This window comes from Homo sapiens, chromosome X, assembly GCF_000001405.40.
Source record: "Homo sapiens chromosome X, GRCh38.p14 Primary Assembly".
Lineage (NCBI taxonomy): Eukaryota > Metazoa > Chordata > Mammalia > Primates > Hominidae > Homo > Homo sapiens.
Genome location: NC_000023.11, coordinates 101,998,072 through 102,010,428, shown reverse-complemented (window position 1 = coordinate 102,010,428; position 12,357 = coordinate 101,998,072). Strand labels below are relative to the sequence as shown.

Sequence of the window (12,357 nt, the reverse complement as noted above, 5' to 3'; positions counted from 1 at the left end):
TCTCACTCTGATGTGGAAGCTTCAATGTGCAACTGTACTAAAAATTAATAAAAGGGCCAAGACCAAACCTGTGTGTTTATGGAGTTACATGAACTCATCTACGCACTTTCAGTGCCTTGCTTTACCATATTAAGCTACACTAACTTAAATCTGGAGAAATCCCTCTTGGGGAAAAAATAGTAAGCTGAAGTGCTATGCTAGTACTGAGGTTATTTTTAGTAACTTTGTAAAGAAAAAGGAAAATTTTTAGCCCAGAAAGCCTATATTTTATTTAAAAATTGCAGTTTTTGAAAATGCTTTAATTGGGAATTTGGCTAAAATTTAATTCTAGTCAAAGTTACAGTTGGATTTAAAATCAATTAAATTATAAATAGGTATATGTGAGGCCTCGCCATAGATGGTAAGTATAAGATTTCCTGCTTTTTTTAAGAATAAAAGACTTGTATTAATTATATTAACCTGGGGTTGAGGGGAGGTTGCAGAGTTAATCATACATGTGTCTAGAAATAATTCCTGTGTGCATGTCTATGTGTGCCTGTTTGTATCTTATTTTTATTATGTCCATCAAGCATAAATAAATTATCAACTTATGCTTACAATGTGAACGTGTAATAGTCAATTTAAGGTCAGCTACAATGAAATTGACTGGGCCTAGGCTTTTTCAGCCATATTGAGTCATATCATCACCCAAAATTTAGAAATATCAAATGAATGGCAGTGCATTCGTGAGTGATCATGAGGCAGCTAGTCACTAATACATCAAAATGTCTTATCTAAGAAGAACAACTGGGCAATCTTGATCTTATGGTCCTGAAGTAAGAACCAGATGCCAGATATAGTTTTACTTTAGAAACCCCAAGTTTCATGGGCCTGGAGAGGGGAAAGGGACATTTCCTGAGTGGGTTGCTGGTTTGTCGAGGCTTGATAGGTAAGAAATTTTGTTGGAAGTGATAAGCATGTTGTCAAGAAATGACTTGACTTATATGTACTATGTATGAGCAATAATAAAATGTCCTATGTGGTATCATGAGAAAACACTGTAGTGGACAATATTCATATGGAAAAATCAGTGATTCCGTATGGATTAATTTAACATATGATGGGTTGTTATTTTATGTACCTGCTTAATATTCATGGGGGACATAATTTAATGTACAATAAGACATAAGTGTATAATGTATGTTCAGGCATAAATAGTACTAGTACATAATTAATGGGGAAGGCACATAATGAGATATTTGATGGTGCTGATGAATCAATAAATAAATGATTAATAATCTTTTTAGGGGGTGAATTTTTGTATGTTGGTCATTAGAGTCCTTATAGTTGAAATACAACAATGATTTTTCATGTCACTGGTCATAGTTAGATACCATGTGAGAATTATGACATATACTGTATTTTTATTAAGTATTGTCTTTGATGTAGGTTTTGTGGGCTTCTCTTCAAAACCTTCTCCTATTTATGGAGGATTGAGGTTAATTTTTACTGAGGGGGTAAATTGTGGCATTGTGTTACATTTTGGTGGTACATTTATGGGTTTAATTGTATTTTTAATTTATTTAGGAGGTATATTAGTGATATTTGTGTATAATACTATAGCAATGGCTACTGAGGGGAATCTCAATCCTGAGGTTTTGGGGTCTAATGCTGTTACTCGAGGAGTTTTATTAAATGTATTATTAGAATTATTTATAATTATGTGACTAGCAGGGCAGGGTGAAGTAGTAACTGTTACTGATTTTTAAAACTTAGAGGTCTGAGTAATTTTTGAGGGTCAAGAAGTAAGACTTCTTTGTGAAGTTTCTATAGGAGAAGCTGCATTATATAGCTATGGTAGCTGGCTAATGGTAGCGGCTAGTTGATCTTTAGCATTTTATTGTAATTGAGATTACTCGAGGGAAATAATAAGAAGCATGGCTAGAAAAATAAGTGAGATAAAGAAAGAGAGGAAATATTCCCTATTTGATGAGACACCATTCTCTTGCTTTGATTTAGTTCTTTGTCCATGATTTTCTTAACTCTTTGAGCATATTTAAGATAGTTGATTTAAAGTTTCTGTTTAGTAAATCCAATGCCCAGGCCATGAACAGTTTCTATTAATTTCTTTTTTTCTTTTCAGTGGGCCATACTTTGTTTTTTGTATGCCTCATAATTTTTGTTGAAAATCTGACATTTGAAATAAGCTACTGTGACAACTCTAGAAACAATATACCCCTGTCCCACCTGGGGTTTGTTGTTGCTATTTTGGAGGTAGTGTTATTGTTGTTTGTTTGGTGATTTTTCTAAACTCTTTTTGTAAAGCTTGCCTTCCTTGTCATGTGAGGCCACTGAAGTCTTTGTCTCATTAGCATAGTGGTCAACTAGTATTTTGAGAGAGGTTTTCTTAAATACTGGTATCAACAAAAAAGAAAAAAAGAAAACAAAAAGAAAAAATATTATATTAGTCTTTACTTATTGGCTTTCTATTAGGGCACTCCTTCAATGCTTAACCAGGATGTTTACAAATCAACTTTACCCTTCACTCGCTGCTTGTGTGGAGCCTGAAGGTCAGCCAGAAGTGAAAACTAGATTATTTTCAAGCCTTTACTAATCATGAGTCTTTCCTGGACATGCATATGGCTTTCTTATTCCCCCAGTATATACAGGGAGTTTTTAATGACTTACCAATTATAAATGTTATTCATTTAATTCTCACTACACCCTCCACTGTTAAAAGTAGCCATTTGAAAGTCTGCATCACTTTCTCCAGAAACAAAACAAAAAAATCCCCTTTTAGTATGATTTTCTAACATATATGTATATGTATGTATGCACATACACACTTATATAGGCACACTTATGAATATATAGTTAAATAAAAATTGACTTTAGACTGAATGCACCACTGATTAATTGGACTGGGAGGAACCTCAAAGCAATGTAATCCAATGCTTCTCAAAATGCAGGTACATACAAGTCAACTGAGGATCCTGCTAAAATGCAGGTTCTGACTCAGAAGACTCAGGTGGAAACTGAGATTCTGCATTTCAGACAAGCTCCTTAGAGATGTCATACTTGGGTAGCAAGAAAATCCATTCTAATTTCATTATTCCTCTTGACCCCAACAAAATGATAAATTGCCTTGGATTACAATTCTCTGAGAGTTTTCTCATTTTGGGTGTAAATAAGTTGGGATATGAAAGCTTCTTGACAATCCTAGGAACAAGCTCTGTGTTTGACAGGCGGTCTCCCTTATGGTTAGTGGATCCCTCTTTTCTAGCACTTGCTGGCTTTCCTCTGTACTTGTGTAACAGCACCCTCCCAAAAGCAGTCTTCACTTTCTTCATCAATTTTTTTTCTGAGTTTGCTCAAATCTCATGTCCCTATCCCTATCTGGATGATTTTAGGGGTCCAATATATTTTGTTTAATGAAGCTTGTAGACACAGCTCTATGCCACCTTACAATCCCTTTCCTTTTGAATGAGCAATTTTTCTTTTTGTGTTGCTGCAATGTTTGGTACTGGTCAATTTTTTCGTAGGCAACCTTAAAGTGTTCTGGTAGATATACCACATTTGCTTTATCCAGTCTACCTTTGATAGGCATTTAGGTTGATTTCATTGCTGTCAACTTGAGATCTGTAGTACCCATTTAAGATTTCTTCAGCTCTTGAGCGTACAGACATCAATACAAAATCATTCAATGACTGAGTTCACCGTAAAGGTCTGGGCTGGTTGGGGTAAAGTATGTAGAAAATTTTTAGAGTCTTTTCCTTATTCCCTTTCAGGTGCTAAAGAAATCATTTGTGGTACCAGCTCTGTTTATTTCTTTTTTTTTTTAAACTTTTATTTTAGGTTCAGGGACACATGCACAGGTTTGTTATATAAGCAAATTGTGTGTCATTGGGGTTTGATGTACAGATTATTTCATCACTCAGGTAATAATCATAGTATCCAATAGGGAATTCTTTGGTCCTCACCCTCCTTTCACCCTCTATCTTCAAGTAGGCCCCAGTGTCTGTTGTGCCTTTCTTTGTGTCCATGTGTACTCAATGCTTAGCTCCCACTTATAAGTGAGAACAGGTGGTCTTTGGTTTTCTGTTCCTGCATTACTTTGCTTAGGATAATGTCCTTCAGCTCCATCCACACTGCTGCAAAGGACAGGATCTCATGCTCTTTAATGACTATATGGTATTCCATTGTGTATATGTACCACATTTTCTGTAGTCTATCGTTGATGGACATTTAGGTTGATTTCATCTCTTTGCTATTTTGAATAGTGCTTCAATGAACATACACATGCATGAGACTTTATGGTAGAATGATTTATATTACTTTGAGTATATACCCAATAATGAGATTGCTGGATTGAATGATATTTCTCTTTTAAATTCTTTAAGAAATTTCCAAACTGATTTCCACAATGGCTGAGCTAATTTACATGGCCACCAGCAGTGTATAAGCATGTACTTTTCACCACAATCTCACCAGCATCTGTTATTTTCTGACTTTTTCATAATAGCCATTCTGACTAGTGTGAAATGCTATCTCATTGTGGTTTTCATTTGCATTTCTCTAATGATTGGTGATGTTGAACATTTTTTCATAGGCTTGTTAGCCATGTGTATGCCTTCCTTTGGGAAGTCTCTGCTCATATCCTTTGCCCACTTTTTAACGGGTTGTTTGGGTTTTGCTTGTTAATTTATTTCAGTTCCTTATAGACTCTGGATATTAGACCTTTATTGGATGCATAGTTTGCAAATATTTTCTCCCATTCTGTAGGTTGTCTGTTTACTCTGTAGGTTGTCTGTTTACTCTTTTGGTAGTTTCTTTTGCTTGCAGAAGTTCTTTAGTTTAATTAGGTCCCATTTGTCAATTCTTGGCTTTTGTTGCAATTGCTTTTGACATCTTTGTTGTGAAATCTTTCCAGAGTCTATGTTCAGAATAGCATTTCCTAGGTTATTTTCCAGTAGCTTTTTTTATTTTGATGCAGGTTTTACATTTAAGCCTTAAATACATCTTATATGGTATAAGGAATGGGTCCAGTTTCAACCTTCTGCATAATACTAGCCAGTTATCACAGCACCATTTTTTAAATAGAGAGAACTTTTCCCAATTGCTTGTTTTTGTCAAATTTGTCAAATATCAGATGGTTGTAGTTGTGTGGCATGGTTTCTGGGCTCTCTATTCTGTTTCTTTGTGTCTATTTTTGTACCAGCACCATGCTGTCTTCATTACTGTAGCCTTGTGGTATAGTTTGAAGTCAGGTAATGTGATGCCTCTGACTGTTCTTTTTGCTTAGGATTGCCTTGGCTTTTAGGGCTCTTTTTGATTCCATATGAATTTTAAAATATTTTTTTCTAATTCTGTGAAGAATCTCATTAGTAGTTTGATAGAAATAGTGGTTTAATTTTCATATAGTTCTATGGTTTTTGAGTGATTTTCTTAGTATTTATTTATATAATATTGCACTGTGATCCATACATTGCTTTGGGCAATATGGCCATTTTAACAATATTGATTCTTCTTATCCATGAGCATGGAATGTTTTCCCATTTGTTTGTGAATCTTTTATTTTTTTTCAGCAGTATTTTGTAATTCTCATTGTAGATATCATTTACCTCCCTGGTTGGCTGTATTCTTAGGTATTTTATTCTTAATGTGACTACTGTGAATGGGATTGCTTTCTTGATTTGGCTCTCAGTTTGGAAGTTGTTGGTGTATATGAACACTAGTGATTTTTGTGCATTGATTTTGTATCCTGAAACTCAGCTGAAGATGTTTATCAAAATTAGGAGCTTTGGGGCATAGACTATAGTGTTTTCTAAGTATAAAATCATATTTTTGTGAAGAGAGACAGTTTGACTGTCTTTCTTCCAATTTGAATGCTTTTTATTTCTTTCTCTTGCCTGATGGGTCTGGCCAGGATTTCCAGTACTATGTTGAATAGCAGTATTGAGATGTGGCATTCTTGCCTTGCTCTGGTTCTCAAGGAGAACGCTTCCAGCTTTTGCCCATCCAGTATGTGTGTTTGTCATAGATCATTCTTATTTTGAGGTATGTTCTCTTGATGCCTAGTTTTTTCAGGGTTTTTTATATGAAAGGATGTTGAATTTTATCAAAAGCCTTTCTGGGTCTATTGAGATGATCATACGGTTTTTGTTTATAGTTCTGTTTATGTGGTGAATCACATTTATTGATTTGCATATGTTGAACCAACCTTGCATTCCAGGGATAAAGCCTAGTTGGTCATGGTGGATTAGCTTTTTAATATACTACTGGATATGGTTTCATAGTATGTTGTTCATCAAGAATATTGGCCTGAATCCTTTTTTTTTATTTTTGTGTCTATGCCAGATTTTGGTATCAGAATGATGCTGGCCTCACAGAATGAATTATAGAGGACTCCCTTCTCAATTTTTGGGAATAGTTTCAGTAGGAATGGTACCAGCTCCTCTTTATACATATGGTAAAATTCAGCTGTAAATTCCTCTTGTCCTGGGCTTTTTATCTGGTTGGTAGGCATGTTATTACTGATTCAATTTTTGAAAATATTATTGGTCTGCTCAGGGATTCAATTCTTCCTGGTTCAATCATGGGAAGTTGCATCTTGCCAGGAATTTATCCTTTTCTTCTAGGTTTTCTAGTTTGTGTGTATAGGGGTGTTCTTAGTAGTCTTTGAGGGATTTTTGTATTTCTGTGGGGTCGGTGGTAATTTCCCCTTTTTTAATTTCTGATTGCATTTATTTGGATCTTCTCTCTTTTTTTCTTTATTAGTTTAGCAAGCCTTCTATCAATCTTATATATTATTTCAAAAAAAAACTTTTGGTTTAGTTGAATTTTTTTTTCTTTTTCTTGAGTCCCGCTCTGTCACCAGGCTGGAGTGCAGTGTCGCGATCTTGGCTCGCTGCAATCTTTGCCTCCTGGGTTCAAGTGATTCTCCTGCCTCACCCTCCTGGGTTCAAGTGATTCTCCTGCCTCAGCCTCCTGAGTAGCCAGGACCACAGGTGCATGCCACCATGCCCAGCCAATATTTATTTTGTATTTATAGTAGAGGCAGGGTTTCACCATGTTGGCAAGGATGGTCTCGATCTCTTGACCTCATGATCCGCCCGCCTCGGCCTCCCAAAGTGCTGGGATTACAGGCATGAGCCACTGTGCCCAGCTGGTTTACTTGATCTTTTGTATGGTTTTTCACTTCTCAATTTTGTTCAATTGAGCTACAATTTTGGTTATTTCTCTTCGCTTGCCAGGATTGACATTGGTTTGTATTTGTTTATTTAGTTCTTCTAGGTGTAATGTTAGGTGTTAATTTGAGATCTTTCTAATTTTTTATGTGGGCATTTAGTGCTATAAACTTCCCTCTTAACACTGCTTAACTGTGTCCCAGAGATTCTGATATGTTGTATTTTTCTTCTCACTGGTTTCAAAGAATTTCTTGATTTCTGCCTTAATTTTATTGTTTACCCAAAAGTCATTCAGGAGCAGGCTGTTTAATTTTCATATAATCCTATGGTTTCTGAGTGATTTTCTTAGTATTTATTTATATAGTATTGCACTGTGATCTGAAAGCGTGGTTGGTATGATTTTTTTTTAACTTGCTGAGATTTGTTTTATGGATGATTGTGTGGTCAATTTTACAGTATGTGCCTGGTGCAGATGAGAAGAATGTTCTGTCGTTTTTGAGTGGGGAGTTCTGTAGGTGTCTGTTAAATCCATTTGGTTAAGTGTTGAGTTCAGGTACCAAAACCTTTGCTAGTTTTTTGCCCCGATGATCTGTCTAATACTGTCTGTGGGATGTTGAAGTCTCCCACTACTATTGTGTGGTTATTGAAGTCTTTCTGTAGATCTCTCAGATCTTGCTTTATGAATGTGTGTGCTTGTGTGTTGGGTGCATATATATTTTGGATAGTTAGGTCTTCTCGTGGAATTAAACCCTTTACCATTATGTAATGTCCTTCCTTGTCTCTTTTGATATTTGGTTTTTTAAGTTTGTTTTGTCTGAAATTATAATAGCAACCCCTGCTTCATCGTTTTTGATTTGCTTGCTAAATTTTTCTCCATTCCTTCACTTTCAGGCTATGGATTTCATTGCACGTGAGATCAGTCTCTTGAAGACAGCAGACAGCATACAGGGAATCTTCCTTCATTATCCAATTTGCCACTCTATGCCTCTTATTATAATTTGGGCATTTAGCCCATTTACATTTAAGGTTAATATTAATATATGTGGATTTGATCCTGACATCATGTTTTTAGCTGGTTACTATACAGACATTATTTTATGGTGGCTTTACAGTGTCAATGGTCTGTATAATAAAGTGTATTTTTGTGGTGGCTAGTAACTGTCTTTCCTTTCCATATTTAACACCCCCTTAAGGACCTCTTGTAAGGTTCTTGCAAGTCTTGCTGGCCTGGTCATAATGAATTCCCTTAGCTTTTGCTCATCTGAAAAGAAATGTATCTCTCCTTTGCTTATGAAACTTAGTTTGTCTGGATATGAAATTCTTGGTTGAAATTTCTTATTTTAAGAATGCTGAATATATGCCCCCAATCCCTCCTGGCTTGTAGGGTTTCTGCTGAAATGACCACTCTTAGTTTGATGGAGCTCCCTTTGTAGATGACTACCCCTTCTCCCTGACTGCTTTTAGCATTTTTTCTTTCATTTTGACCTTGGAAATCAGATGACTATGTGTCTTGGAGATGGTCATTTTTTTTTTTTTTAGACGGAGTTTCACTCTTGTTGCCCAGGCTGGAGTGCAGTGGCACGGTCTCAGCTCACCATAGCCTCTGGCTCCCAGGTTCAAGGATTCTCCTGCCTCAGCCTCCCAAATAGCTGGGATTACAGGCATGTACTACCATGCCCAGCTAATTTTGTATTTTTAGTAGAGACGGGGTTTCACCATGTTGGCCAGGCTGGTCTCAAACTCCTGACCTCAGGTGATCTGCCCTCCTTGGCCTCCCAAAGTGCTGGGATTACAGGTGTGAGCCACCTCGCCCGGCACTGGGATGGTCATCTTGTATGGTATATTGCAAGGGTTCTCTGCATTTTCTGGATTTGAATATTGGCCTCTTTTGTGAGGTTTGGGAAATTTTTGTGGCTGATACTCTCAAATATGTTTTCCAAGTTGCTTGCTTTCTCTCCCTGTCTTTCAGGGATGCCATTGAGTCATAGATTTGGTCTCTTTACAGAATCTCATATTTCTCAGAGGTTTTATTCTTCCTTCTTTATTGTTTTTGTCTTTATGTTTGTCTGACTGAATTATTTCAGAGAATCCATCTTCCATCTCTGAGATGCTTTCTTCAGCTTGCTCAATTCTGCCATTAATACTCGTGATTGTATTATAAAATTCTTGAAATGAGTATTTCATTTCTATCTGTTCTGTTTGGTTCTCCTTAAAATGGTCATTTTATCTTTTATCTCTTGTATCATTTTATCATGTTCCTTAAGTTCCTTGGATTGCACTTCAACTTTCTTCTGAATGTCAGTGATCTTCATTCCTATTCATGTTCTGAGTTCTATGTGTGTCATTTCAGCCGTTTCAGCCTGGGTAAGGACAATTGCTGGGAAACTAGTGCAGTCATTTTGAGATGAGAAAACACTCTGGCTTTTTGAGTTGCCAGAGTTCTTGCACTGGTTCTTTCTCATTTGTGTGGGCTGATGTTCCTTTGATCGTTGAAGCTGCTGTCTTTTGGATTTTTTGTTGTTGTTGTCGTTGTTTTTCTTTTTTCTTCTTTGGTGCCCTTGGGATTTGATTTTGGTATAAGGTGGGTTCAGTCAGCTAGCTTTGTTTCTGGAAGATTTCCAAGGGCCAAGGTTTAGCTCAGCACTTCTGGGCTGCATGCTCTAACTCTAGGGGGCTGGTACAGGGCTCCTGTCTTTCTTCTCTAGTCCCTCTAGGTTAGGTACCGCTGTGCTGAAAGGACCAAGGTATTTCTGGTCTGCTGGCTACAGCCCTCTGATGGGTGGTCCTGGATAAACCACTTCATCAGGGTGGTCACAGTGGGGTCTGTGCTCATTCATGTAAGCCAGCAGTCTTGGCAGTGTGGCAGAGTGCATGTGAGTTGGCTGGGGTTGGATACCAGCAGGAGGGGAGCTGCAGCATTCCTGCATACACTCCTGCTGGCAGTGTGGTAGGGGTGGGGCTCTGGTGGGGATGGGTTTGCTGGTGTCTGTTCTTGCACTTCCACCATCAGCGGCAGCAGTGGTGGTGGCAGGGGGAGGCAGGGTTGCCATGGGCACATTAGCAGCAGCTGTGGTTGCAGCGCAGGGTTGTGGGCAGTCAGTGTTATTGGCATTCCTGCGTGCATTTGTGCTGGCAATGGCAGTGTGGCTGTGTGCCCACATATCAGCAGGGGACATTGTGGAGTGCACTCATGCTGGCAGCAGTGGCACAGCACAGTGCATGTGCAAGTGCATGCTGATGAGAGAGGGAAAGCAAGGTCTGCCTGAATGCACACACTGTCAAAGCAGCTGGGGAGCAGGAATGGACAAGTGCATGTCAGCAAGGCCATGTCGGGGAGGCTGCAGCGGGAGAAGGGTGTAGGTGGACTGGTGCACATTAGTAGGGGCTGCTCTGCTGGAGATCTCCAATGATCAGACACAGTCTGACAGTGAAGGAGCTATGATGAGGGGCCCCTGGGAAGCACCCTGGTTGGGCATCCAAGGCTATGCTGCAAGTGGGCATGTGTCAGGCTGAGGCTTCAGTAGAGGCCAGTTGTCGGGGGGCACTCAGATCAGATTGGCTCTGTCTCTCTGGCAAAACCACCCTTCTCTATTGAGGTCCAACAGTCACCCCAAGGCTAAAGTCTCCTAGAGGGGCATGGTGAGCCTTAAGGGATGGGCATCCCGGGCCATGCTCCACAACAAATGTTACCACACCCAATCCTCTGGGCTCAGCATAGTCTGGAGTCCTGCCCTTATCACTTTTCTATGCTTCTCTCCCTGCCAGCTCAAGTGTCTTTGGGGGATCATTGGGTCTCCTGCTTCCAGGATTCTGGAGGTACATGGCGAGAGTGGGCCACTCCTCATCTGTTCAACTCACTATTTCCCCAGGAGTCACTAAAGGCCAGAAATGAGTACCAGTGCTCAGTAGTCTCATGCAGGGTTCCCAGCTTCCTCCCTCTTCAGCCCAGCATCTGCTTCCTCCCTCCATCTACTCTCAATGTCTTTCCTCCTAAGATCTGCCTGGAATGTGCCAGTCTTCCCAATGTCCCAGTCTCTTGGCGGCAGATGTTCCTCCTGGCTACATCTAGTTGGCCATCTTAACTGCTTGTTCAGTAACTTTTAAAAGCTCTCTTTCCCCCGTGCATTTTCTCTCTCAGCCTCATTCTTCTTAGGCTTCTTGGTCTGTCTATTGCTTGTTTTGAGTGTTGTCCCTTACTCTGCTATTGTTGAGTGAAGTGGCCTCTATATGTCTTTTTTGTCTGGATGGTTAGTATTATTGTTCAAGCACTCTATTATTTATTGATCTTCTGTGTACTTGTTGCATTCATTATTAAGACTGGGTTATGAAAGTCTCAAACTGCAGTCAACACATGTACCTTTAAATGTTTTTGTTGAAAGCTGACCTGGAAGCCTCTTTGGCCTGAGCAATGTTGTAATTTGGGTGAAACTAAAAGAATCTTTGTGCTAGTCCTTGAAGGAGCTGCCAGATACATTGAGATCCACAATCACAATTCTTTGATAGTAAAGACGGCACTACTCCTTCTGTCACTAGCAGTCTGCACCAAGAGTAAAGGCTGCTGTTCTCGTGGTTGGTGCCAATATGGGAAAGGGGAATGGTATAAAGGCAATTTAAAATTCCACAGTGCTCTGTTACCACAAAGCAGCAGCTTCTTTCTTCATCATATCTTCCCCTGGTTGTTGTAAGTTTTTGACTAAATTCCATAGTTCTACAAAAGTGGATTCTGACAGCTATTACCAAATCATTATTTGATTTTGGGGAGAGAAGTATCCCTAGAATTCTTTATTTCATCATTTTCAGTGATGTCACTGAACCCTCACAATTACTTTTGTACTGAATTTTTCAAGAGGACAGATAGAAAGAAGGAAAAAAGAAAACAAGCAAGAAAGAAAGCTGCAGTTTAATTATTAAGAGACAAATTTGGGACACAAGTTTTGTATTAACACATAGACTTATTGTCTCATCTTTTCTGGCCACTGGGAATATTAAGCATTTATTGAGATGGAGGTTCCACAAGGTCTAAGCAACCTTTATCCCTGAAGCTCACATGGAAGACAGAAGCTTCTTTTGTGTATTCTCAGACTGGATTCCTGGTTATAGTTTTAGCTCCCAATCAAAGTAAACACAGATCTGCCATTACTATGTTTGGCGGGGGGGTTTACATTTCCAGCGTAAACCAGGCCAGAGAACA

The 12,357-nt window shown here is 38.8% G+C and overlaps 2 pseudogenes, besides 2 other annotated features; one reads left to right on the top strand and one right to left on the bottom strand.

Moving 5' to 3' along the window:
* Positions 1,383-1,905, top strand: MTND6P13 (MT-ND6 pseudogene 13; annotated as a pseudogene).
* Positions 3,135-3,776, bottom strand: C3orf49P1 (C3orf49 pseudogene 1; annotated as a pseudogene).
* Positions 9,847-10,347: an enhancer, noted in NCBI's record as "H3K4me1 hESC enhancer chrX:101255055-101255555 (GRCh37/hg19 assembly coordinates)". NCBI's record gives its function as "activates a minimal SCP1, AML or CMV promoter by ChIP-STARR-seq in naive H9 embryonic stem cells {active_cell/tissue: H9 hESC(naive)}" and the evidence as "EXISTENCE:reporter gene assay evidence [ECO:0000049][PMID:30033119]".
* Positions 10,348-10,848: an enhancer, noted in NCBI's record as "H3K4me1 hESC enhancer chrX:101254554-101255054 (GRCh37/hg19 assembly coordinates)". NCBI's record gives its function as "activates a minimal SCP1, AML or CMV promoter by ChIP-STARR-seq in naive and primed H9 embryonic stem cells {active_cell/tissue: H9 hESC(naive and primed)}" and the evidence as "EXISTENCE:reporter gene assay evidence [ECO:0000049][PMID:30033119]".